General features: G+C 40.0%; 1 protein-coding gene, 1 long non-coding RNA gene and 1 other non-coding gene across 3 annotated transcripts, besides 6 other annotated features; 1 reads left to right on the top strand and 2 right to left on the bottom strand.

The window, feature by feature from the left end:
* Positions 401-570: an enhancer, noted in NCBI's record as "experimental_96030 CRE fragment used in MPRA reporter constructs". NCBI's record gives its function as "activates a minimal promoter by MPRAs in K562 erythroleukemia cells, with activity observed for both the introgressed and non-introgressed 6:82451306 variant alleles {active_cell/tissue: K562}" and the evidence as "EXISTENCE:reporter gene assay evidence [ECO:0000049][PMID:34662402]".
* Positions 947-1116: an enhancer, noted in NCBI's record as "experimental_96031 CRE fragment used in MPRA reporter constructs". NCBI's record gives its function as "activates a minimal promoter by MPRAs in K562 erythroleukemia cells, with activity observed for both the introgressed and non-introgressed 6:82451852 variant alleles {active_cell/tissue: K562}" and the evidence as "EXISTENCE:reporter gene assay evidence [ECO:0000049][PMID:34662402]".
* On the bottom strand, positions 4627-11578 carry TENT5A (terminal nucleotidyltransferase 5A). Its single transcript, NM_017633.3, has 3 exons — positions 11328-11578; positions 10487-11075; positions 4627-9368 (listed from the first exon to the last, which is right to left on the bottom strand). Exons 2-3 carry the CDS (start codon positions 11036-11038, stop codon positions 8592-8594), a joined length of 1329 nt encoding a protein of 442 aa, NP_060103.2. The 5' UTR covers positions 11039-11075; positions 11328-11578; the 3' UTR covers positions 4627-8591.
* Positions 11239-11739: an enhancer, noted in NCBI's record as "H3K27ac hESC enhancer chr6:82462059-82462559 (GRCh37/hg19 assembly coordinates)". NCBI's record gives its function as "activates a minimal SCP1, AML or CMV promoter by ChIP-STARR-seq in naive H9 embryonic stem cells {active_cell/tissue: H9 hESC(naive)}" and the evidence as "EXISTENCE:reporter gene assay evidence [ECO:0000049][PMID:30033119]".
* Positions 11239-11779: a biological region, named in NCBI's record as "H3K27ac hESC enhancer GRCh37_chr6:82462059-82462559".
* Positions 11650-11779: a silencer, noted in NCBI's record as "silent region_17352". NCBI's record gives its function as "represses an Ori minimal core promoter by ATAC-STARR-seq in GM12878 lymphoblastoid cells {active_cell/tissue: GM12878}" and the evidence as "EXISTENCE:reporter gene assay evidence [ECO:0000049][PMID:35858748]".
* Positions 12600-12649: an enhancer, noted in NCBI's record as "active region_24774". NCBI's record gives its function as "activates an Ori minimal core promoter by ATAC-STARR-seq in GM12878 lymphoblastoid cells {active_cell/tissue: GM12878}" and the evidence as "EXISTENCE:reporter gene assay evidence [ECO:0000049][PMID:35858748]".
* On the bottom strand, positions 19192-27312 carry LOC105377873 (uncharacterized). The gene is made up of 3 exons (XR_942729.3): positions 27177-27312; positions 26494-26624; positions 19192-23454 (listed from the first exon to the last, which is right to left on the bottom strand). It is a non-coding gene; the product is annotated as an uncharacterized LOC105377873 (long non-coding RNA).
* LOC124900219 (small nucleolar RNA SNORA70) lies at positions 22921-23053 on the top strand. The gene has a single exon (XR_007059945.1). It is a non-coding gene; the product is annotated as a small nucleolar RNA SNORA70 (small nucleolar RNA).
* Positions 27313-27706: the final 394 nt, after the last annotated feature.

A 27706-nucleotide genomic window follows, 5' to 3' on the forward strand; every position in this document is an offset into this window, starting at 1 on the left:
ATATAATGTGTATCATGTTATATATTATATATGTGTATCATGTTATATATTATATATAATGTGTATCATGTTATATATGTGTATCATGTTATATATTATATATAATGTGTATCATGTTATATATTATATATAATGTGTATCATGTTATATATAATATATAATGTGTATCATGTTATATATTATATATGTGTATCATGTTATATATTATATATAATGTGTATCATGTTATATATTATATATAATGTGTATCATGTTATATATTATATATAATGTGTATCATGTTATATATTATATATAAATATTACATGACATATATTTTTATGAAAAATATATTTTTAAAATATATATTTGTATAAAAAATCAGTTTATCTGAAATAAAATTTAGATTAAATACAGGATATACTATGTTTTTATTTACTGAATCTGGCAACTCTAATTCAGCCTTTTGGCCTTGAACCTGATTGAATTTGTTTCTCTTCTTTTCTCAAAATACGATTAAACTATTTTAATAGTGTTTATGCCCTATTAAATGAAGACTGTATAATCATGATCCTCTTGACCTTCTTTGAAGACATACAGAAAAAGAAACTCCAGAGCATATGTAATTCTGGATCAATGTGTAGAATGGCATTATCCACAGGGCCTAGTAAAGCCCAGTATGTTGAATTTTGCTAAAAAAGAAGAAAAAAAATAAAGGAATAGGGTTTCAGCATTTTCTAATGACATGGCCAGATGATGCCACAAAATCTTGGCATTACTGATAAGCACACGCTGTGCTGGAAAATCAATAGTTTCTGAAGGGGATCCTGAAGGGAACTTTCCATTATTGAAGTTAGAAATAACTTAGCCCCACACTCATAAATTCCTGGAGTTCAGGGTGCTCAGTGTTCCTAAGCAAGAAAGCACGGGACTTGTCCTAACTTCATAACCTGCTGAGCTGGAATTATTGCTTTTACAAATTACAGAGTACCTACTTTTTTAAAACTGCATTTTTAACTATTTCAAGTGCCAGACAGTAATTGAGATAGGAACGTAAATTTAAGTACAAGTGTCCCCCCACTTTAAGAAAGCCTGAATAGGCCGGGCGCGGTGGCTCACGCCTGTAATCCCAGCACTTTGGGAGGCCGAGGCGGCAGATCACGAGGTGAGGAGATCAAGACCATCCTGGCTAACGCGGTGAAACCCCGTCTCTACTAAAAAAATAGAAAAAATTAGCCAGGCCTGCTGGCGGGCGCCTGTAGTTCCAGCTAATCAGGAGGCTGAGGCAGGACAATGGTGTGAACCCGGGAGGCGGAGCTTGCAGTGAGCCCAGATTGTGCCACTGCACTCCAGCCTGGGGGACAGAGCAACACTCTGTCTCGAAAAAAAAAAAAAAAAATCCTGAATATGCTAAAAGATAAGCTTAGGTAAGCAGATAGGTTGTGGAAGTGGTTATTTACATTAAATAATATTTCATTGCAACATTCCATTAAATATTAGACTGCCTTGCTATTTTTTAAAAATTACATCATTTTCTCCCTTGCAATGAATTCTCAATTTTTCAGATTTTGTGTTATGTTTGGGCAGTGAAAGTTTAGCCCCTTGATCATTTTAGCATTCCATGTTATAAATATCTACATAATGGTTTATAGTTAGTTAGTATTCTCCTTCCTTAAAACTCTAAGGTAATAGTACTCTAAGGTATTATTCTATAGGAAAGCATTGGCTACAGAGCTCAGCTCTCTTCAACTCCCTTCCTTTTTTCTAAAACGTGTAGGTAAAGCTTCTCTAAAACTTTTGAGTAAACCACAACTTTTTATTTTCACTCCTTCATATGATTTCCTTACACTGTAAGTACTGAGACATTAAGAAATAAAATTCACTATTATTTTTGCAAATGGAGTCATTCCTCAGAAATAGCAGAGAAGAGTTATTCTGAATTATTCAGTCTTCATTTTTTTTTTTTTTTTTGAGATGGAGTCTCGCTCTGTTGCCAGGCTGGAGAGCAGTGGTACAATCTTGGCTCACTGCAACCTCCACTTCCCGGGTTCAAGCGATTCTCCTGCCTCAGCCTCCCAAGTAGCGGGACTATGGGCATGCACCACCACATCCAGCTAATTTTTGCATTTTTAGTAGAGACGAGGTTTCACCATGTTGGCCAGGATGGTCCCGATCTCTTGACCTCGTGATCCTCCCGCCTCAGCCTCCCAAAGTGCTGGGATTACAGGCATGAGCCACCATGCCCGGCCAGTCTTCATTTTTAAATAAACTTTTTATGTGAGAATACTTTTATTTTTAAAAAGTGATGATATAGAAAGTTCCTATATACCCCATACCCAGTTTCTCCTTTTGTCGACATCATACTACATGTTACAACTAATGAGCTGATATTGAACCATTATTATTTCAATAATGCTTGCTTCAGATTTCCTTAGATTTTACCAAGTGCTCTTTTCTGTTGCCAGACCCCACCAGGATCCCACATTACACTTAAGTCATATGTCTCTTTAGGCTCCTCTTGGCAATGGCAGTTTTCACACTTTCTTTGTTTTAATAATTTAAGGAATACTGGTCCAGTATTTTACAGAATGCCCCACAATTTAGTTTTGGATGATGCTGTTCTCAAGATTTGGCAGGTTTTAGAGTGTTGAGGAAAAAACCACAGAGGTGAAGTGCCATTCTTATCACATCACAACAAGGGCACATACTATCATCATGACTTGTCACTACTTATGTTGGCCTTGATCAGCTGGCTGAGGTAGTGTTTGTTCGGTTTTTGCAATGGTACAGTACTCTTCTTTTTCCCTTTTCCAGATTGTAATCTTTGGACATAAGTCACTATGCACAGCCTACACTTAAGAGGTGGGTAGTTAACCTCCACCTCCTTGAAGGGCCAATATCTACATTGATTATTTGGAATCCTGCACAGTAAATTTCTTTCCCTCCATTTGTTCATTCAATCATTTATTTATATCAGTGTGAATGCATGGATACTTTACTCGTTGTGTTATAATCCATTACTATTTATTTTGTTGCTTAAATTGTTCCAGCTTTGGCTATTGGAGCTCTTTCAGTTAGCTCCTATGTCCCTTTGACATACCCCTGCCACCCTCATCATTATGATTTTTATCTTTTTTTTATGCTTTCTCAAGGCACCACAAGATGCTTCAGGCTTCTCTTATATATTTCCTGCTCCAGACATAGATTCAACTTCTAGTTCCTTTTATTGGAGAATGGCATTAGAAACCAAGATCTGAGTCATGCTAGGTAAAAGCCACTGTCATTTTAAAATCATTTCTCCTCCCTCGGTCCTACGTGATGTATTTGCTATTAGACTGAAGGATACTGTGTTCATATTGTTGATCTCAAACTTGGTCCTTTAAAGAAAATTAGAGTTTAATTTTGGAATTACTTGATTTTAACAAACCTTATTCTACTTTATATTTAAAAACTATGATATTAATTTATTTTTCTTTTTTGGTATATTTTGTTCTTTCTTTTTCTTACTAAAGGAATTAGAAGTTTAGGGAATGAGGTTACTAAGGAAAGGAAGGGTGGATTACTTCTCTCCAGGCTCAGCTAGGAGGGGCAGCCTAGTAATTCAACTAGAAATGGCAGGGTATATCTAAGCCTAGGAGAAGTTTAATATATACTGCTCTTATTCAACCATTGTTTAAAAATAATTATGTGGTGACCACAGACATATGAGGAACTGGCTGTAGAATGAAGAGGCTGCAACAAAGGAAGAAGAAAATGACACACAAATACCATTATCAAACCAAATAACCACCTTGTATTTTTATGATGCACTGTATACGGGAAGGAAGCTGGTTTTCAATGCCAAGAGTTGCTCTTTCACAGACTCGGTGTCAAGCATGCATTCTATTCAAGATCAAGACTTTAAGTGGTTTTTACAACCACATGTATATCCTATAGTAGCCTGGGCTTACCAAATTCTCATACTACTAGCATTGAGACCATCTCCAAAATTACACTAAGAAAAATTTTAATTAATACATAAATGTATGCCCCCTAGCAATTTGAATAGGTGAGGTTACATTAAATGCTAGACAAAAGGGTGATTTCCTTGCACCCAACACACACACACACACACACACACACACACACACACACAGAACATACTAGATCTTTTGATTGCTCTTCCTTCTCTATACTTCCTCTTTCAATTCCTGGCCACCAATTCCTCTCACCCCAACGTAAAAACTCTGAATAACACTATAGAGCCTCGAACAGAATCTATATAACCACTGATGAAATCACAGCCCTAAGGCTACTCAGGAAGACCAAGGCTCACGCAGAGCTACTAGAGCCCTACAGCCTACTAGAGCCATGAGTCTCTACTGATATCGGAAAACAGTTCTGACTTCTGGTCACTTAACACTGCTAAATTGATACCCAGACAAAAAAATTGTTGGCATCTATTAGCTAGATGCTTTTGGAGCTAACTGAGCCAGTCAGAGATGGGCTGACTGACAGCTGGATGTTTTCATTTATTGTGCTTCAATCAGAAAGTGGCTGAAGGCTACTCTTCTCTATGTACCGCTCTGCCTTTTCTAAAGGACGTGGGTTGGGATTCAAAGGACATGGTCTTTAGTCAATACAGACATTGTAGACAGCAAACACAAATCAATAGAAAAAAATAACTTTTTTATTTACAAAAAAATCCAAATATTGGATGCTGTAAACAAAATTCACAATCTGTTCCCTCTAGCACTGATTCAAACATGTCAGTTTTTTAGTCCATTTTCCATCAACTCCTTTTCTGCCTGTGACGCAGCCTATAGTCAAAATATTCCAAAAGAGTGACCCAAGGTGCAGCTTGCTGCAACAGAACACCTCAAAGCAGGCATGATTGTAGAGAGGTTGGAGGGAGAGACAGCCAGCAGGCAGAGCCTCCTCCGTTCTGCAAGGCTTTGCAGCAAGTCTCGTTAACTTGACATCTTCCAACTTTGTACTTTACCATTTGCTTTGTTAGAAAGCCATTATTTTAACAAAATATAACATAGAGATTCTTTCTTAGCACTGAAAATGCTATGCTAAAAGAAATTTTAAAGAAAGATTATATTCAAATAGATGCTATATATGAAATTACTTTTTTTGGCTTTTTGGTTTCACCTAACACACTTCATCTTCAACAACAACAAAAAAGCTTATTTTTGAACTGACAGCTTTCAACATAATACATTTCATTTACAAAATAGTTCACAATATTTATTTAACAAGCGTTGCATTGAAAACAACTTTATGCACAGTGAAGCAACCAACAATAAGCAAACAGAAAGGGGTGGTAAAAACAGTACGTTCACTTTTCATTTCCTTCCTTGGTTTGGATTACACATATTCTTCCATCCTTGCATTTTTGGAGCTACATTATTAGTCCATCCAATACCAAAGTGAGCAGATACTTGATCCCATTTCTGGAAAGGAAATGTCCATCTTGGTGTAGGAGTTCTTGAGGCAGCTGGATTTACTGCAAATTAAGTAAACCTTTAAAAACGGCATTGTCACAGGCTATGTGTTCTCTGACATGCCAGGCTGGACAGGTGAGAAGAGCCTCCAAAAGACAAAACTTCTTCCTGGTTTAAAGAAACAGCACACTAGGCCAGATAAACACAAAAGGAAACAAATCACAGGCGCTAATAGGGAGTCGGGAGCTGTTCTTTTCTCTGACCTATACACATGGCTCTCTCTCACCAGACATTCAAATTTTTAGGCCGCACATCCACAAAGAGAGACATATATTTCACTGTGTGTTCAACTACATATGCACAAGACTATAGTACACACAAAATAGAAATAAATTATATAAGTCTTAAAGTAAATGCTAGAAGTTGTCTTGAGTACAGCCTGTTCTATATGAATAGGTGCCAGGTGCTGGCACTTCCAACTAAGCTACCAACCCTGAAGTAAGCAAGAAAAGAATATAAATATTTAAGAAAATAAATCAAAGTGTATTTCAAATAAGGCTCTTCCAAACAAAAATCTGTGTTATAAATTAACAGCAGGTTATTGTTATGGCAGAGTCAGAGACCTCCAGACTCTTTAAAATAGTAGACGACTCATTTGTCAAGAGTTAGGGTAAGAAAGCAGATCACCAGCTGCTCCTGTGTTCACAAGTGCTCCCCTAGTTTTCTTTCAGAAAACTTTGAAACAACTAAGCAGGCGGAGCTCTGGTTTCTGATAGGTGAGTGCCAGGCTTAATCTGCAAACTGAACAATGTTTCCTGGGAAGTTGCAATTAATTTTTCAAACCCAGGGCTTAAGTGAGGGAGACTGAGCCAAGATGGTAGTAGGAGGAGTTCCTTAGAAAACTGAGTGGCAGTGCAGCGGCTGTTGCAGCTCTGACAGAATTCACAAGGAAGCTGCTACAGCAAACCCATCAGGTTCCCATTAAGGCTTCAAAGAAAGATGCACAAAAGGTAGTCCAGACGGATTAACCTGGATTAACCTAGCACTAAGCATCTGAGGATCCCTAGATAAACAAACAAACAAATTATACTGCCAACAGGAGGATATTTTTTTCTCCCGTGGTCTCTCTTTAACTGATGATGAAAATCTTCTAATTGGGTCTTCGAGGAATTATCATAGCAAGCAGTCATCCACTAAGGTTGTGGAGATTATGTGGTTGTTTCACAACACAAAGGGAAGGTTCTTATGTGTTAGTTTTGTTTTGTTTTTAACAAATGCATTTTCAGAGACCAGTATCTAGAGGAACTACTGGCTAGGAGAAAGGGTGGTTTTAGGATTAGCTGTTATTGAACTGAAATAGTAATGCCAGTTCATTTCACAAAGGTATAACTGGTATTTTTGTAAGAAAGAAAATAAAGTTGGATTTGATTTAATGGAAAGCGATTTAAAGTACAGTACTAAATATTTAAATGCAGTGTGACAACCAGATCAAAGATGTTTCATATTGACATGATTTATAAAATGTTATATATAATATATATCTCATATATAAATTTTAAGCAATTGTGCAAATATTCTGTAAAAAGGGTCATTTCACATTACTAAATTCTAGTGGTCCAGAAATGCAGAATGCATTCATTAAAATTCATTTAAACATTAGCAAGTAGTGTTTAGATCACCGGAAATCCTTTTTAGCAGTCAGGGATTTAAGTAGCCTATTACTGATCCATGATCCACTAGATTAAACATCATAGAGGAATGCAATTTTTTTTTTAATAAATGGGTTCCAACTGTCAAAATGGCAGTTCAATATAAAAAAGAGTGCTCTGCCAAACAAATATTCTCCCATTTGTGGAATTTTATGGCTCACCAAAGAAAAAAAAAAAAAGAAAAAAAAATCCCACTAAAACAGTATAATTTCTGCTCTTCCTATGAAATATATTACTTGGTTCCCTCCTTCATTTAATTTTTTTAGATGTGGATTTAATTCATCATTGCAATATGCCCACGTCTCATGTTATCCTGTTGAAAACATAAAAACACACAGTATTTAAACATTTCCTATTTGAGACATTATTCTAGATCATAGTCAATCTACTGTGTATATATACATATAAAATGTATATATAAAATGTATATATACACACACACATATAATTTATACACACATACACATGTACCTATGATAATATCAGATCAACAAATGTTAACTTTATACAAGTATTTGCAAGAAAAAATAGGGCATTTTCTCCACCATTCACAAGCTTATGTTATTTTCTTCTTGAGGCAGTCCCTGATAAAATAAAATAATCATTAAACCATAAAATAATTTTGCCACTTCAAATTTTCAGAAGGCAACAGGCACTTTGATGTATATTGGTGTGTAACAAATATAATCTCTCTTCATATAGTCTACTATATCTCTTCTAATTGGGTATTTTTATCTGTTAAATCTTTGGTCCTTGAGCACACTTTCTTTGTTACAGCTGTTTTTGCTTGCATTTTTACATTTTAAAAATGTGATCTATGCACGCAGCTGGAATTAATGGATTGTGTCATCATAAGTTCTGCTGATTGTTACGAGAACTGCACCAACCTACTACTGTTCATTTGGAGCAAGCCGTTTGTTAGCAAAACAAGATCATTCCACAGAAAGCACTTGCTACAAGCCTCAGACAGTAATCCCAACGTTGGAGTTCCCCTTTTTCCTGTATTGTTACTATTAATATCTGAACTCCTAAACTGATTCACAAGTTGGAGTGAGACCTTTTTTCCTCCGTATTTTCCCTTTTATGAATTCCATCTTAAAAGAAACTTTCCACTTTTTTTTTTCCTATGGCAAAGCTATGGGAGCAGATACAGCAAACCCATATTGTCATCACACATTTCTTCTCTTGTATCAGGAGAACCTGGTTGCTTCTAATGACAGGTCTCTCTTTTTTTGCAGGATAGAATCCAATTGGGTAGGAGAATAAGAGAAGGGAAAAGGATCCTTTCGAGATCATGCTCCCACATCTATTAAAAGATACATAAGCTTTGCCAAACTTAAAACCAGGAGCATATCATCATTGCACAAAACACATCCCTAATAAGGGCTGGATCACTCTTTTTTTTTTCTTTTTTTTTTTTTTCTCTCCTGTCTTGTCTGAAATGGCTTCCCCACAGGACATTTTTAAATGATTCTTAATTGCAGGGTAGCCAAGTGGAGTAGGTCTGTTGCTGGCACGTGAATACTGGCTGAACCTGTGCAATGTAGTAATTGCTAAAGTTGGCATCTGCTACATAGGGGGCTGGCTGGTAATAGCAAGTGACATTAGCCACATTAGGAATGACATTTTGGTCAGCTAACACCCGGATAGCCAGCATGGTGATAAGGTTTAAAGTCTGTCTTCTTTCATGTCCCATCAGGCACACTGTGCTCTCATTTACCACTCCATGAAGGGTCATGAGATACTCATACTTGCGGTCTTCCAATCCCACAAAGTGGTTCTGCAAATAGGACTCCAGTTTTCTCTGCTGCTCTCCAATGTCTGAGAAGTCGATGAAAAACCTGGAACACATATACCTTTGAAGGGTCTTGATTTCATCAGAGGCGGGCCTAAAGCCCCTCACCAAGAGGTTGCAGTACTTAAGCAGGCCTCCCCCTCGGATTTCCTCTGGGTTCCTGGTGGCAATGATCTTGTTACAAAGGTGATCAAAGGCTTCCTGGAAATCGCCATAGACGCTCTCCCCGATTATTGTGGGGTGAAATGTCTCAGTCATTGGGTTCTCTGAACATTCATAAAAGAGCAGAAGAGAGTCTAATTTGATTTGAAAAGAATCTACACTGAATTCAAACTGCCTCCGGAGGGAATCCACAAATTTCAGTTCCACATTTTTGCCACTGTTGTTTGACAGGGATATAAGACTCCATCGGTCAGAGTCATTGCACACTTTAACCATTTTCTGCACATAAGCTTCCTACAATTTAAAAGATAAAACAAAATGAGCAAACCTAGAAAATAATAAATCAATAAATAAATACATCCTCTTCACAGCTGAGAATTATTTTGCTCTTTCCCTTTTGTTTTGTCAAGTTTCAGCCAAACACTACCTACAGGCTTAAACGGTCTTCTGAAAATAGAAAAAAAATACTTTTAACGAGTAGTTTTACTGTCTGGGAAAGGGACTAGAGGTAATAGTTTGAGGCTTTTGGCAGACGTAGCACAGTAGTAAGAGGTTTTGTTGTCATGTCTGACTTTTTAAGTGTTACTTTTTGAAAACGGTCTAATAGGCACAATATTCACACAGTATCCAAACAACATTCAAAAGACTCGGAAGGGCATTCAGCGGTAGGTTAGTCAGCCTCTCGCCCTTGTTCCAAGCCACCCAATTCCTCTCCGCCTGCGGCAATCAATGTTATCAGTATCTTGTGTGTCCCTCCAGGGGCACCCTGCAGTTACAATCAAATATAAACTAAATTATGACATTCCAGGAGCCTGCCTCCTCAGACAATTTTAACTAATCATATAAAACCCGTCTTGAACTAAAGTGGAGGGTGGGGAGGGGGTGCCACTATACCCTTAACATATGAACCAGCACGAAGAACCACCAGATAGACCTTTAACACGTAGTCAGCTGAATGCCGCTGTGAAATCTATTCACCTTTTCCAGTACAATAAAAAACTCATTGACTCACTTCTGCTTCAGGCTGTTATTTTCCCAAAGGCTAGACTCAAATATAATGACTCAAAAATTATTTACATCATTTCATTCTGCCAAGTATCAGAATCTACTCTGGACAAGACTCCAACAGGGAAAGCCAAGAGTTAAAACATAAGGAGAAAGAAGAGAAGAGAGGGCAGAGGAGGACCTGGGAGAAGAGTTGTAGCGCCAAAGCATCAAGTAAACTGAAACACTCAACACCGTCCACGCACGTCAGTTTACTGGTTTAAAAAATCAAAAATCAAAGAAATAACGCGCGCCCAAACTCGTGATGGCCACAGATTCATGGCATTTAACCGATGCCCCTCTGCCCGCTCCCCGTCACACCCGGCCCAGACTGGGTCAGGACCCAAGTGCATCTCGGGTGGTGTTACCTTGAGCGTGAGTGGTGTGATCTTCTCTTTGTTCACCCCCTCGGGTAAGAAGTCCAACAGGCAGTCCAGCACGACGTCCTTCACAGTCTGAAACTCCCCTTCCCCGCGCAGGTCGGCGCAGAAGATGAGGTCCAGGTCCTTGTAGCCCAGGCCGCTGTCCTGGTGCAGGACATGGCTGGCTGCCGAGCCGTTGAGGCGCACGTCGCGGACGCCAATGCGCTTCTCGGCCAGGCGCCGCCGCACCACCTTCACGATCAGGCTCGGCTGCAGCTCGAGCGTGGGGAAGTTGCCGCGCCCGTGAATCGGAATGGTCTCGCTCAGGATGCCGTCCAGCCGCTGCACTTGCTCCCAGTTCAGCACATTGCAGTGCGCCGTAGGGCTTTCGCAATAGTCCAAGCAATGCCCACCGAAGCTGCCGCCACCGCCGAAGTCGCCGCCGCCGAAGTCGCCGCCGCCGAAGTCGCCGCCGCCGAAGTCGCCGCCTAGGGGGATGTAGGGGCTGCAGGCCAGCTCGTCCTCAGACATGGCGAAGTACCCTTCACCCTCCGCCATGTAGTGCCCGCCGAGCGCCACTTGGCCCTGGTCAGTCCTAAAAAGAAAGGGAAAGGAGCGCGGTGAGGACGCGCGGCGGCGGAGAGCACGCGCGGCGGCGGAGAGCAGAGGCCCGCCAGGAAAAGAGCGCCCCCTCCCCCGATAGTTCCCTGACCCCGGGCCTCCTCGGAGACTCCCTCCCCCGGCCCTTACAGTCCCCAGCCGCGCACCGCGCCCCGCAGAGCAGCCCCGCACCAAAAGTATCTCTGATGCATCTGGAAAGCGCAAGCGAGAGTCCCGTCTGTGTCACCTGGAGGCGGCCGCCCCTTCTAGGAGCGCAGCGAGCGAGAGCGAAACCGAGAGGCGGCAACACTTCCAGGAGCTGCGAGCGCGCTCAGACAGCAAATAGCGACTTCGTCTTTCCCAGACCCCTGCCGCCTGCGCTCACCACTCCCTCCCCGCGACCCCTCCTGCGCCGCTGCCACCCCAGCTGCGGTGGTCCCGAACTGGCGGCTCTTGCTGCCACACACGCTCGTGTCTCTGGAGCTTTAGCAGTTGTGCGGGGAAAATGTCTTCAGTACTTTTTTTATACCGGGCTTCTCTGCGCTTCCGGGGCCCAGAGCGGCACGTTCGCCACACCCTCCTCATCTGCATAGGGCGCCGCCCCCTCTGCCCTCCCCCGCCCGCAGGGCACGCAGCTGACTAGCCCAGCAGTTAGTGCGGGACGACTGCCGGTGAGCGTGAGGTCCTGGGCTGTATGTGCGGATACTGTGTGCGCCCGTAGATGCGTGTATTTATACATACATTTAATTTATGTACGCCCCCTCCCACAAATCTCTTTTCATTTTCCCCAGGAGGAGACACTTTAAATGCCCCAGGAATCATAAGTGGTCATCAAAACCAGATCACGACTAAAATCCTGCAACTGCAGAAACTTCCCAAAATTCTCGCGGACTCAGCCCGTCTTTAGATCATCACGGTTGGGCTCCGGAGGTTCCTCACGACCGCTCTTTTAAACCTCGGTTTTTAGGTAGACCATTTACTCCATTGATAAACCCGATCCAAGTGTGGACTCATGAGTCCACTCTTGCACGCAAATCAGTCACGGCGCGTGAGTGGGAAGGGCTTGTTGATAACTGGGTTTCGATTCTCGAAACCTCGGGAAGCGCGCCGGGGAGCTCTGGGCGAGCCCGAGAAGGCGCGGGGGCGGCACCACGGGCCTCGGGCGTGCGCGGCTCCTGCGCACGAGTGGCTCCAAGGGGCCAGTACTTCGCGGGGGTCAGGGCGCGTCACGGAGCAGACGCGGGCGAGCAGCCAATGGCCGAGGACTGGGCGGGCCGAGTGGGCGCAGAGAGCGCGCCCGGGGAGTGCGTGCTGCCCCGGAGTCCAGGGAAAGGGCCGCTAGGTGTCCGGTGCCTTTGCTGCGAGTTCTCTGACAAAATTGGAGGCGGCGAAGCGCGTTCCTCGCGGCCCCCTAAAGTTTGGCCATTTTAAGTGCATCATAGTGTCAGTGGAATACGATTTGGTTTTCCACGAGACGTAAAAGTAGGAGTTTCAAGAATAAAATGAATTCTCTCCTCCAGCTTCGGTGACTTCGGCAGAGCTAATTCTACGCACGCTCACTCGCGCCACCACCACTCTTTGCTAGAAAGCTGTGGCCGTCTCTTCGGCAGCTCGCTGCCTCCATCAACTAACCCGGAGCAGCTTTCCCAGCGCCTAGACGCTGCCGGGGGCTGAGGTGGGGCAGAGGGGAGAATGCCAGGGTCACAGAATACTCCCCAAACCCTGCTCAGCCCTGCCCGCCCAGACTGGGAGGAAAAACAGCCCGCACCTCCTAACTGGGGGAGCCCCGGCCTAGTCACTCAAGCTGCGCGGCTCGGGGGTGAGGGGTAGGGTGCGGGGGTGTCACCCGTGGAGCATCCAGCTGCGTGACAACGCCGCCCCCTCCCGGTGCCCTGCCGAGCTGCGTCCCAAAATGGAGAAATCCGACTGTCTCTGTGGCAGAGGCCATCCCCTCAGCGCTGCGCCTAAGCACTGAGGTGCGCCTGGGGACTCTAGGACAACTACCCTGTCCGCATAGGGCCATCGCTTCCTTCAGAGCACACCCATGTGTTCCTCTGACCAGCCATCGGCGCATGAATCTATCTTAACCAGGCATTTTATACATATATATACATATGCATATTCTTGTGTGAGCATGTGTATAGAGAGAGCATTTAGTGACCTGTTACGTGCCAGGCAACAGGCTAAGTGCTGAAGATTTAAGAATGACATTTCACGTAATCTAGAGGGCATAGCACCTAGGTGCATAATTATGGTTCAGTTGCATATGTATTATGAGAGAAGTATATTCTGACGCAATCGCGTGGCGGGCTAACTACATAGGAAACGGAGAGACACCCGAGAAGGTGTCATTTGGACTGGATCTTGAAAGAATGGATGTTCTTTCAGTAGTCGGGGAAAGAGGAGAAGAGCGTTATCTACAAAGGGAAGCGTATGGAGTTGGAGAATGTTTGAGGAAGGATATGTACACTCCCGTGATTAATAAATGAGATTGGTAGTGCCTTGAGATAAGGTTTATGAGTACCAGGAACTTATTGAACACGTCTGGGCTATAACCTGTTTAGCTCCTTAACATAATACCTAATTTAATCTTCAAGAAGAAGGTATTTCCATCTCCTAGGGATCTAGAAACAGAGGAATCCAAGAAGTTAAGAAACATTCCCAAGTTCCACAACTAATAAGTTGTGGGGTCAGGCCTTTAACCCAACCCATTTGGCTGTGAATGCTGTTTAGTGGTCATTACGGGGTAACGAGTGGTCTGTAGCTTATCAGTACCTTCTTATTGGAAAACAAGACAAGCACAAATAGGAAGAAGGAACGATGGGGAGGGGAGGGAAGGGGAGGGGGAAAAGAAGAAAAGGAAATGGAGGAAGGGAGGGGAAGGGAAGGGAAAAAGAAAAGAAAAGGGGGGGAAGAGAAGAGTAAAGAAGAAAAGAGAAGAGAAAAGAAAAAGAAAAGAAAAAAGACCTGTTAAAAATGTTTCTTTCAAAGACCGGTATGAATTCTGCCCCTTCTTAAAACAAAGCCAAAGTAATAGATCGTATATTAGACACGCTGTACTTTAAAAACCAAGGGTGTGTGCATGTGTGTGTGTTTAGCTCTACTACAATTATTTTGTACTTTATTTTTACCCTTGCTCCAAAAACTGAAAATAAAGAAGACTCTTAGAGCTGATGGACACCTGCCTATGCATACCCAGGATTTCGTTCTGTAGCACCAAAGGAATCTGCATTTTGGCAAGCTGTCATGGTGATCCTGACACAAGGGCCCAGCCACACTTTGCGCTGCACTGAGAACAGCCACCATAGTCCAGTTCTCTAAGTGGGGACCCTCCCCCAAGCAAAGGCTGATCCCATGGCCATTCCCAGAAATGGAGGGCACAACTGAGAGGTGGAAGCACAGCATGAAGCTGGACTTGCAGGGCCCGCTTACGTGCTATATGCTGTGCTGGGGAGAAGAAGATAATCCCAGCAGCAGTGTGCCAAGACCGCCTCTCCCCCAAGCATCCAATGCTTTGTGGCTGACACTTCCTTAAACCTTTAACAAAACATTCCCCCTTTCCCAACCATAATCCAGACCCTACTGCCTCCTGCATTGGGACATCTGGGATATCTTACTTTTGGCAATGCCTTTGTGGGCAATTTAATCTTTGACTGGATTAATATGTGCCTGATACATAGTGACCAATCATTACATACTGTTGAATGAAAGCATATGTTGTTCACTGTCCCACTTTTTCCTGTCTTCAAACTGAAATAATATTTACATTCTAGGAAAAAATATCCATCCTTAAATAAAATTGCATATTCTGCTATTGAAACCATAATTTTTTTCTAGATAACCAAAATAATTATGAAATGAGAACGCCTATACTTTCCAAATACATTCACAACTAAGATATTTCTCAACACAGTTACTCTTAGATTAAATTTAGATGCAAAGTTGCTAAATTTTTCCCCCAGGCTTTAGCTTCTGAACCTATTTGATAAATTATTTACTTTCTCCCACTTAAAAGGAAAAAAAAAAACACCTGTGGCAATATGAAGCTCTTAGTTGATAAAGTTAAGACCACCACAAAACTGAAATACGGACAGCCTAAATTTAAACTGCTTTCTAAGCGAGCAGAAAAAAAGTCCTTATCCTGAAAGTTTTAAAGGAAAGCTTTGCATAGAATTTTGAGAAAGAAACACTTATAATTAGTTCATCTTATTTTTAAAGTTACAGTAACAATCAATCTGGACTTAGCAAAATAAGATGTTCAGCTTCGGCCTTAATGATAGTTATTATTATTGAGTTTGTTATTATATCCCAGAAACTCTGCTAAATATTTTATATACATTATTTTTTCTAAACTTTCTCTAAAAACCAGAGCTGTACACATTATATCTCCATAGGAAAGATAGGGCATAAGAAGGTTAAGTAACTTAGAGAAATCACAGAGCCTTGGTTCAGACCCATGCACGTCAGTTCCTTACATTCTGTGACTTGGCTTGTCCCCAGTCTTGTCATATTCCTCCTAGACTTAAACTTGAGCTGGAACTGCACTCTGATTCTTCTTTCTTTCCAAGTTCTGGACATTCAGGTTGGGCATAACTTTGGAGACCAAGTGATTTTATCCTGAAACAACTGCTGAGGGCCAGAATGCACAATGACCTGACAAAGCAGATGGCCACTTCTTCCCCAGCAGCCACGAATGACCTCTGTGGCAGCAGAGAGCTAGCAAGCCAGCACCTTATGGAGAATTTGCAACAAACACCAGACACACTGAAACACAATGGGGTGTTTGAAGACTGCCCCATGTTCAATTAGTGGTACTTTCCCCTTCTTGCCCTGCTTCCTACCTTCTCAAAAATGGTTTCAGAAGATGGGAAGCCACCAAATATGAAATTATTCATTCAAGTTCATACCCAGAAGGAGAGATAGAAGAAAAAAGCACCCACCAGCCCCCACCCCGCCGCCACACACAAAACCTGCCATTAAGCCTGCTACTTCCCTCTCTCATAGCATTCTAGCCAGTCTCCCCCAACATTCCTGTCCTGCTTTTGGTCTTTCCACACCAGCCCTCTCCACTGTCTCTCTTGATTTTCCACCTTCTACCACTTCTGCTCTTGGAACCTTTCTACAAAAAGTGGCATGTACTTCTAGAAGCACCCTGCAATGCAGGCAGAGCAGTGGTAGTGTGAAGAATTTGAGTACTCCCCCACCCTTGTCTGTCCCCCACCTATTTGCTGCCTTTGTGGTGCAAATCCTAGTAATTCCAGAGACCACTGGGGTATTGCATGCTTTTCCAAGCATGCACACACATATGCCTTCTTTGCAGAGTAAACTGAACATCTCTCTGCTGTCCAGTTAGTGTTTGTAGAAAAGCAACTGATCAAAGTGCTTCATGTAAAAATTAAAACTCACTTGGGAAAATAAATTACCTGTTTTCACAGGGAAATGGTGCTTGTGAAATGACGTTTCCTATGTTTCTTCAGAAAATAAAAAATGTTTATTCATTATTCAGGGCCTGTGGAAGATCGGCAACATCCTATGTCATACAGGTTAGTTTGGGAAAAACCATCCAATGTATTACTTGTATATTCTTTGTAATCAACAGATTAGCTTTTATAGTTTTAAACTTTTCAACCCTTTTTCTTCTATATCATCTCATTTTATCTTCAAAACTGTGCTGATCAGCATGAAGTTCTAAGTTTAGAGATGAAGAAAGGCTAGATGATCTTCCCTATATTTACACAGCTAGTTATGGGAAAGTTAAAGTTAGACTCAGTCGCCCTCATCATGCGGCAAAAGCCCTTCTAACCACACTGTTTAATCTTACATCAGTGTGAGTGCATTTAAATGATCAGCATCAAACAGCTAAGTTTAAAGAGATCCTGTAGCGACACAGAGGATTTTTTATGTGGGCTACGTTCTCACCTGTGGACATAGTATAAAGCATCATTACTCTACTGTTGAGCATCTTATAAGTGTAATATCCTAAGATTTTATTTTAAGTGTGTTTATTTGAAGTATATGACCACATAAAAATAACTCCATTGAGAGTTACAGATCAGTGAGTTTAGGAAATTTAATATGCAAGCAGCAAATATGGTCAGACAGACCTACATCATCACTCTTATAATCGAACTTGGTTTGGATTGTCCTTTAACATAATTCTTCATCAGAAAGACTAGCTAGTATTTTCTTATGCTATTATCAGTGTTATTATGCCAGAAGTTCTTCCTGTTGTGACATCTCTGTGAAATTTTGCCGTTTCAATCAGTGTTGCAAGGCGCATGGACCAGACTGTTTTCCTTACTCCAGACAAAAAAGACATTCAAAAGTTACATTCATTTGGCAAAACGTAAACTAGAAATACACTGTATTTTCAAAAACCATCAAATATGAATAAGTAAACTTTAATATTTGTATTATAATTTTTTTGTAAATTTGTGCTGGAATATGTTTAACTGCTCTGAAGAAAGTGTTGATTTTACTTATGGAAACTGTAAGGTTTTGTGAAGAGTACAAGGGAAGAATATAATATATTATTTCTCTTTTCTAGAAGGAATTTAGCCAAAAATGTTTGGGTACCTTGTAAAAAATAAGGCTGTATTCAATGAGTATGTTATATCCAGCTCATCTTGATATATTTTCAGCCTATTCTTACCTGTTCAACATATGTTGATACATTTTTTAGCTACTGATAGTTGATTTTTTATATGAGATTTAAACTTATGGCAGCTGTAGAAGGCCTATTTACTCATATGTATACATAAACCATACATTGATTCAATAATGCATATTTGTTTGAAATAACCTTCTTAGTGTTATTTCTACCATCACTTGTTTTTATCTTTTCCTATTAACTTCCTTCCCTGACCTCAAAATTATCTGTTGCCAAACAAATTACAAATTAAATAGTACAACTAATGTTATCTTGATGTTTGGGAGAAATTACTATGGAATATGATAAGCAACCAAAAAACACATCGTCTTAGAAAGTCTGAAAAACTGAACAAAACATAATAACTAAACAAAAGTTTCTCTTGAAGCTACTCAGAAAATGGACATTTTTAAAACATTTAAAAAAAGAACTGTTCAAACCAGACTCTACGAAGAAAAATATGACTACCTTAAAAACCCTGAGATTGTTAAGTGTAAGTATGGAAACTAGCTGTGGACTTTCTATAGGAAGTCACGCTAAGATGCCAACATTTATTCTGGTAATATGGAATAAAAGAAATTCATGTTTTCTTTCCTAACAAAAGAAAAGGCTTCAAGATGCTAGTAAATTAGGCATTAGCCGAGAAGGTGTAGAGGAGAACAAAAGCTATAAAAGTTATTGATATTTGAACCATGAAAGTGTCTGGCTGGAAGAGATCAGTTTCCAATAAACTACAACTCCTGCAGGGGAGCTGGGAAATAAAAGAGAATTTGGATTGACACATGATTAAGAAGGCTGAATATTGATAGTTTAGATAAGTAAGATATCCCTAAAGGGTAATAGAACTGCCCTCTAGGTTTTGAAATTCATAATTATTTATGGAAGTGAATAATTGATTAGCATAAAAGTGATATTCTTAACATAAACTCATGTCAAAATATTAGAAAGGGAAAAAATATATGGCACTCAAGATTCTTTTCCCAACAATTTCTCCCTGATTTCCATTGAAATTCCAAAGATTTTGGTGGGTTTTTTTTTTTTGTAATTCACTGGAATTAACTCAGCAACCACATCCCACTCTATTTACTTATTGTGAGATCTTTGTGAGCAGTAGTTCGTCATCCTCACACTGACTAGATATGGATTGTGTTGCTGTGTTTTAAAAAAGAAGTATTTCTTGCAAACACTTATGACTTGTCTATGTCTTCTACAAGTCTGGACATGTCTTGGAACATTATCTGTGTTCTGTGGGTTACAAGGCTTGTCGAGGTCAAAGTACTCAGACATGAGACAGGCACCTTGTATACTCCAGAGAGCTAGAAATACTTGGAGATTAAGTCTAGTCCATGCTCAGAGTAGTGCAGAATAGTGTATGTATTTTTAATTCACTATCTTAAAAGTAAATGATAACGTTAAGAATAGTATATTTCACTTTAGTTATTATACATTTATGATTTTTTATATGAGATTTTAATGTTTCAAAGAGATGTTTAAAAATGGTAGATACCCATTTTTCTAGCATCATTTTTATATACTAAATTCAGAAACTTTGTAATTGCCATATAAACTTGTGGAATCATGGAAATCATTTGAATAAATATACTATCATAATATTTGAATTATGTTTTGTAGTACATTGCATTGTATTTCATTATATATATATATAAAATAACTCTAGACCAAGTGCAGGAATGACATAAGAATATTTCCGACATAAAAGTAATTACCCTTTGCATATTGGATCGGTCATTATTTTCAGTCACGCATTCTTCATAAATCAAAGAAATTGAGTTACCATGACTAATTCTTAATCCACTTTGAATCTAAAGATAGCAGACATTTGAATTCAAAGTTTGAAAAACTAATTATTTAGATGTTTTATATACATCATATTTAACAGCCAGATATCTGGCTAAACTTCTTGTTCTTACTCAACTAAAATGGAAATTTTAGTTTTCTTCTAAATTTAATTAAAGATCGATTTGATCCAAACATTTACTCTGGAACTCACATTATAGATTTTGAGTGCCTGTATTGATCAAATTACCCAGAGGCTTTACAAACTGCACTTTATACTGCACTAAAACTTGAGTAAGCCTGGCCTTTGACTCCCCTCCTAATATAGGGCATGGCCCCCTCCCTACCTGTGGGCTGCAGAGTTGAGGGTGGGTGGGGGAGAGCACTGTACAACATAGCCTCCTTGGGAAGTTAGAGTATGTGTGCACACATGTGCTCATTAACTCCCCTAGATTATTTGTTCTTTCACAAATCTTTCTCATTTCCTATTCATTAATACAAATAAATGACTGTTGAATCAATCTAGTGCCATCACCACTGCAACAGACACCTACTGTAAATTCTTTAAGTCTAGTAACTATGGTTACTTAAAAATCACCTAGCAAATAATATAGATTAAATAGCCTAGATATGTTCTGTGTGTCGGATAAAAGTACTCTTTTTACTTAGGGGGATAACATTTTCAGTTGGAATATAGTCAGCTTTAAAATTTTAGTAAGTATCCTCAAAGTTTCCAGTGATTATTTGATGACTCACTTCTAAAGCCTCAGCTACATATGATTAATGGGATTTTACTGCAGATTTAACTTGTCCATCTATTGTTTATCTTTTAATGCTTCTGGGAATACTCCAGAAGCTTCCACCACTATTCTGTTTTTTAATCAAGTGACATATGAAAATTAATCAATTTTGGATTGCAAATTGTGCTCTCATACATGGGATACAGAATTAAAAACATACCATTTCCTTTCCTGAGGATGCTTACTCAAATTCTACAATAATAAGCATATAGCATATATACATTTTGACTAAGACTTTTGTTCTTATTATACTTTAAGGACATTTAAGTATAGTGAATACGTGTCCTAAATCAAAAATAAAAGTATGTGGCCCGACAACTAATATGCTTATAAGGACAAAGGGGCAGTCTATTTGAAATCTCTTCACGTCTTCAGAAATCTGAGATGTATGGTGTTCTTCCATCCATTGTATAGAATTATGCTTCTTTCTTCAGTTCATTCCCATAAAAGCCTCCCTGACAGCAACATTTCTTATTGTCTATTGGCTATTAAGTTACAGCAGAAATTAAATATGGGGAATTCATTCAATATTCACACACCCACAGATATTCTTCCACTTAAAATTAAAGGCTTTTGCATACCTAGTTGAAAGCTGACCATAATGTTAATTTTGTAAAACTGAAATGTAAATTATTCTCCCTAAGCCTATGGACAAATGTAGTATCTCACTGAAAAACATTGTGGCCTTCTCAAACACAGAACCCTCCTGATGCCACTTTGTGTTTTTTAAAAATCAGTTTGGGCTAATAAATGCCCATAAAATATTTTAATATATTTAATTGCTCTAGGAAATTAAATTGAACTTTAATTACAATTAAGTAGAAGATATCAAATATAATGCCATTAGACCATGAGTTGGTTCAGCATCTGTGTTTGATTACATTACCCAAACACATGAAACAGTCAAGTTTCTAAGCTGGTCAACCCCTGCAGGCAGTGACCTGCTGTTTCTTGCCAGTTGAAGTCTGTTTCTGTGTTATTGCTCTTACTGTCAGTAGATGATCCTCACAGTTCCATAAATGCTATTTAACTCTCTATGGTTTCCTATATTTCTTATCTGCTTCATTGTTCTAGAAAAAGATATTCTTTAAAAAAAAAAAAGAAAGGAAGAGGAAGAAAAAGAATGAAAGAGACAGAGGCAGGCATTTGTTGCAGAACTTCACAAACTATGACTAGTCAGGATTTAGGTAATAGTTCAAACCCAAGCCCCAAAATAGCCAGTTCATTTTGTTTATAATAAATTGCAAATCAAAGCAACCTGGTCTGAGGAAGAAAATGGCTTTGTTCCAATGATCTAGAGGCACTAGAGATCAGCTGTCCATGATCCTTTAACCTACGGCAAGGCCATCTTAGTTAAGGCCACATCTTCCTCATTATTTGTTTCTTGGGAAAAGTCAGTGGCTGACGTGGAAACAGCTGAGTGCGTTATTCTAAAATTAAGTGATTAAATCACGAGGCTGAGAATAGGATGCAGGAAACCTGGGGATGGATTTTTTTTCTCATTCTTGAAATTGATTCTTGCTATGAGAACTTATAACAATTAGTCCCATTAAAAGCAGCCCATACTTAATTTCAAGTGGCCACAGTAAACTCTTCAAGGTTGAGACTTGGAGGAAAAAAAAGTAAAAATACTTAGCACAAATCATTACTGAGGAATTAAAAGGAATCAGAAAGATGGGAATCATTGGGAACAGCACTCACAGTACATGTTAGAGCTTTGAAGAAACACTCCCCTAGTGCTTAGCTGAGAAGGGATAAGCCCAAGATTGTGACAGAAGGCCAGGCTGGAAAAACAGAATGGCCGGTATTAGATGAATGTAAATATGTAAATATGCCTTAGAGTATGCCTTAGAGCATGCTAAATGTGCCTTGAAACATGTAAAGTATGCCTTAGAGAATGCCTGGTCCTTTGTAGGCACTCAGGCCAGCTAACTCATCTGCAGGAGCTGGATAGAATGTAATGCTTAGGCATGGAGACCAGCAAAGGCAGAAGAAGGGGCAAAACCCAGGTTGCTCTCCTTCTAGGCATCAGGCCCATGGGAGTTCAAAGATGTTCTCAATCTTACACTGTGGGAGTTATCTCTCAGGGCATCCAGTTTGAGCCTAAGGCAAATTTGGCTGATTCCAAGTTCTACCTGAACTCAAAAACAACTATTATAATATATCCTGCATCTCCATCCTGCAACTGGTGGCTAGTGAGGAGTGATACCATGTGAAAATATCTGTTTGTAGATTTGGAACTGCTGCGGCAGAAATAGGGACTTTTAGTCTCTAGGACAAAGAAGCTTGCAGGTCCCCTTCAACAGTACTGCCCTTGTACAAAGCCAGAAAATTATCTGTGATCTTTATAGCACAGGAAGGACCTCCAAGCTAGAGAAGGGATGGTTCAAGGATGGAAACATCTTTCTTATTAAAACACCACATAAAATTCTGTGAGTTCTGAATCAAGAAAGAACCTCCAGCTGGTGGGAGCTGACCCCACCAGCAACCTCTGACTCTTTTCTATGAACACTGCCTTTCTCTAGAGTTCTGTCACTCTGATTACCACTGTCACCCCGAATTCTGGAACTCAGCAGACTTTTAAAATTATTCATCTGCAGTCAATTAAGCCAGCTGTACTCCTTTCCTCACAGGGGCTCGGTGTAATGGCTGCAAACAACAGCCTCCTTTGTTGTATACACAGCTTGTTTCTTGTATGGGTTGCTCTAAAGAACATAGGAGACAGCCGTTTCCAATGTATGTTTATGCCTCTGACCTTTGACCTTGCACTGTTCCCATTGTAGGCTCCAGACAGGTGTGCAGGGTATCTCTAGAAAGCCCCAGGGTACCATGGCCAGAATTTACATTGGTAAGTCATCATGTCCATCCATACCAAGGTGCAGAACAAGGAGCATGTGACTGAGTCCCTACACAGGGCCAAGTTCAAGTTGCTTGGCCACATCACAAAGAAATGGGGCTCTATCAAGTTTAATGCAGATGAATCTGAAGACATGGTAGTTGAGAAGTGTCTTATCTCAGATGGCTGTGGGGTCAAATGCATCCCCAGTCATGGCTCCGCAACAAGTGTCAGGCCTTGCACTCAGGAAGGCTTCCACTGTTCTGCTGTCTCTTAGGCTCACCAATACTTTCTGACAAAGAAAAAAAAATGTTAGCATATGTTTAACCAAACCCTTTCTTTCCTTCATCCTTCTTATCAAAGTAGAGGCATGTAGAATTTTCCAAATTAATGTAATTCGGTATTACACAAAAATGAAAAGGCAGGCATTACAGGCAAGCTACATTGCGTAAAGTCACAATTCCAAAGTTTTAAGTCCTTGATCCTAAGATGAACATATCCAGCCCTAAAAGACTTCACTATCTCTTGCTGTGAGTCCTCCACCCACCCCCATCCTGCCTGTTATTTGGTCAGTTTTCTAGCTGTCATATTTTCTTTCCATCTTTCCAAGTGTGGTAAGTGTTCAAACAATGGGTTGAAATAAAAAATAAGAAGGAATGATCCACTGTAACTGGGATGGTTAAAAAAGGTGTCTTTGTAGAGAAAAGACCAGACTAAAGAGTAAACACCAGCCAGTCATGAGAAGTTGAGAAAAGAGTGTTCCTGGCAGAGGGAGCAACTTGTACCTGGGCAGGCAAGAATCTCTTGTACTGGAGGAACTCAAATGTGTTCTATGGAACCAGAGCATGCAGAGGAAGGGAGAGATGGCATGAGATTAGGCTGAACAGAATGTCAAAGTTCAGATCATGTAGGTTGTGGTGAGGAGTTTGAAAGATTTTAGATTTTTTGTGTAAGTGTTAGAAGCTATTGAAGGCTTTGAGCAGGAGAGTTGCATGACTGGATTTATCTTTTGAGATCCTTTTTGCTGCTGTATGGGGAATTCATGAGGGAAAAATAGAAGAGAAATGGGTTAATAGACTGCTGCAGATATCTGGGCAAATGATGATACTATCTTAGATTACTGCTATTCAAACTGTAGGTCACAACCCATCAGGGTTATATAGTCATTTTAGTGTTTTTTTTTGTGTAATGTAAGATATAATTACCTTTCTTAGAAAATATCATCTTTTTTTTTTTTTTAAATTTTAAAGCTGGGTGTCCTGGGGGAGACATCACATGTCAGCAGGTTCCGTGATGTCCCCTGAGCTGAAAAACCAGCAAGTTTTTATTAGGGATTTTCAAAAGGGGAGGGAGTGTATGAATAGGGTGTGGGTCACAGAGATCACATGCTTCACAAGGTAATAGAATATCACAAGGCAAATGTAGGCAGGGCGAGATCACAGGACCACAGGACCAGGGCGAAATTAAAATTGCTAATGAAGTTTCGGGCTCCAGTACATATAAAGAGACTTATTAAGAAAAGATCATCTTAATAAGTCTCTTTATATGTACTGGAGCACATTGGATTTAAAATTTTGGGATATGCTTTTAACCCGATGAGAAAATAGGTTAATAATAAATTGTCACTGAAAATCAGAAATGTGACTTGGAAAGAAAAGGTACATGTCATGGGCAATTACAGATGCAGAAATCCTTTAATTATAAAGCATGCCCTTACCTGAGGAACTTTATACTATGCTGACATGAGGCTACATCTAATAATAAGCCTTTTCATTTTACACACACAAACACACACCCACGATCTATGAACATGTTAAGACCCATATGTTCAAACAACCCATTTACAAATTGCTAGATGGGACCAGCATGAGCGCCTTACTCCCTTCACCAAATGAAGAAAGCAATTTTGTTATTTCATCACCTTTCTTCTTCCTGGAGTCCTGACAGCATCAGTTATAACAGCATGCCTCTTTTCCCTCATTTTATCAAACACCAGTCTTGCATTTGAGTAGGTGACAAACAAAGATGGCAGCTGTATTTTCCTAGTAGAATCTTAGAGCTCTTCAGAGTCACAAGAATGAGCCTCTAATGGCAGAAAATTAAATCCTAGAGGAAATAACACTAATGGCTACTTAAGATATCTTCCCCCATTGCTTCTCAATCCAGACCACTTAGGTAACTGCATATGTTGTTGTCCATGCATTTTGATAGAGCCATCCAGAGAACCACTCCTGACCTGAGTAGTTGTGCTGCTGACTCTACTGTAAAGCCATTCCTGTGCCAGATGAACCACAGAATTTCAGCAAGTAAGGAGCTAAAGACAGGGGAGCGTTGTAATCTTCAATCTGTTTCTTCATTCTCAAACCTCACAATGTTGGCTCTTTCTGCAGAATTTCAGTTTGTGTTTTATTCACTGAGGAAGTCTGGTACGTAGAAAAGCTTCCTCTTAGCATAGATAAGGCTAACAGGCTAACAGTTATTTGGGTAAGTAGGATTAATTATCAGGAAGCTGTTGATAGTTAATGGCTGACCTGTAAAAACCTGGTTAGAATGAGGTCAGCTAAAATAATAGGGTCTATTTTAAGTTTGGGTCATATAAGACGTCATTAAGGATCACATTATTTCAGCAAAGAAAATATTGCAGAGAGTTATCCTTTTAAAAGAAAATAGCCTTTCTGCTGGAAAGCTTCCAAACCACACCATTGCAAAACCTAAACACTTCAAACCATTGAATGCTAATGTTTAACTGCCTAGCTCTAGTTGTCTTGCAAACCTTTTCCCCTTTGGTAATTGACTTTTTCTGCAATCCAGGTGTCGTTCGGTGTTTTATCCCAATTTTGTTTCTTATGCTGAAGAAAACATATTTTCATTGCCTAGGGGTTAATTTTTTGAACCCCACATAATGTAGAATATATTCTACTCTGTTGCTTGTGATTAAGAGTAGTAATCAGCATTTTACTAGAGTTGAGGAAAGCAGCAAAGGGAAGGGCTAGCCCAAGGCATAATTGGGAAATGCCTGAAATTTTAAAGCCTTTGCCTCATAATTTGTCATTTAACTATTTTTGTGCCTTAATCTCTTGTTCAGTCACTTAGAGCTGCATGACCCCCTCTAAGCTTCAGTTTCCTCCTGTTGCAGGATTGACTGCACACAGTGCAGTGTGCAGCACATTCCCTGAGGCATAGTAAATGTTCAGAAATTGGTAGGTTATCATCATCATCCTCATCAACATTCCTAAACCTCGGGACTAAGGGATATTTCATATTGACTTATGATGAAATTGTTTGTAAAACATTTGCTTTTAATTTTATTCTCAAAGACTAAAAAACTTACCAAGCCCAAAGGAATGTGCCTCTAGTTCTAGTATTTGAGGCCACCACAGGAGGTGGAGAAGAAATGTGGTAGCGAGTGCGGGAGTCTTCCCTCCTTTGTAGTGCTGACAGCTACCTGTTCATTAGACTGGCCTTGTTGAAAAAAAATGATAATATGAGTCAGGCATGGGGACCAAGACAACATGCGGGACCTGCCCTGCTTACACCAGAGCAAGAGAGCCCATGTCCTGGTCCAGTTCCAAAGCCACTCCCCTGGCAGAACACCTGTCTGGATTCTTCCTCCTCCCTCCTGTCACCAAGATTCAGTGAAGAGTCTAATTAGTTAGTGGATGTTTAAATGCTGTATTGGAGGGGCAGATATAAGATCTGTGGGATCTAAAGATTATATAATTATGGGGGAACTCTTTAAAAGAATACAAAATTATAAGTAATAGATATGTGTGAATATTTAGTTAAGATGAGAAATCACCACAAAGTATACATATAAACAGCTAACAAATACCACAAACATAAAAAATCCAGAAAAATATTTATTAATTAAATCCCTGATTCATCCTACACTTTTTTTCTACTTTTTTCTTCTTGATTGCATACTCTTTGATTGCACCCCTATGTATGGTAGAAGAGGATTTCTGACTTTTCTGACTTAACACAGCATTGATGAGATTCAAAACCTTTGCTTACAATTTTTTTGTTATGATGATTTGAAAAATGTTCAAGTCTTCTTTCTCTTCTACTGCCCACATACTTCTGGCACAGCACAGCATGCTCATATAGTATTACAACCACTGTGTCTTCATTCTGTGATTGCAGATGAGTGGGAAGAGGGTTTCTGAAAGTATTCCTGCACATGGACAGGTAGCAATAATAATTACTATACCTGAAAATGACTGCAAACCACATAAATCCATCTCCCTAAACCCAAATAGAGGGACTCCCAATTTAATTTCCCATTAGCCAAATCTCAAAAATGTCCACAGCTAGTCTGGGACTATCCAACATGAAAAGGCATGGAAAATAATTCATATGAAAAGAGATTGCAGTCTTTTTTTTTTTAGAAGGTCTCACTGTCACCAGGCTGGAGTACAGTGGTGTGATCATAGCTCACTGTAACCTTGAACTCCTGGGCTGAAGCAATTATACTCCTGCCTAAGCCTCCCAAGTAGCTGGGATAACAATTGTGAGCCACCACACTCAGCCTAAACTGCAGTCTT

Source organism: Homo sapiens, chromosome 6, assembly GCF_000001405.40.
Source record: "Homo sapiens chromosome 6, GRCh38.p14 Primary Assembly".
Taxonomy (NCBI): domain Eukaryota; kingdom Metazoa; phylum Chordata; class Mammalia; order Primates; family Hominidae; genus Homo; species Homo sapiens.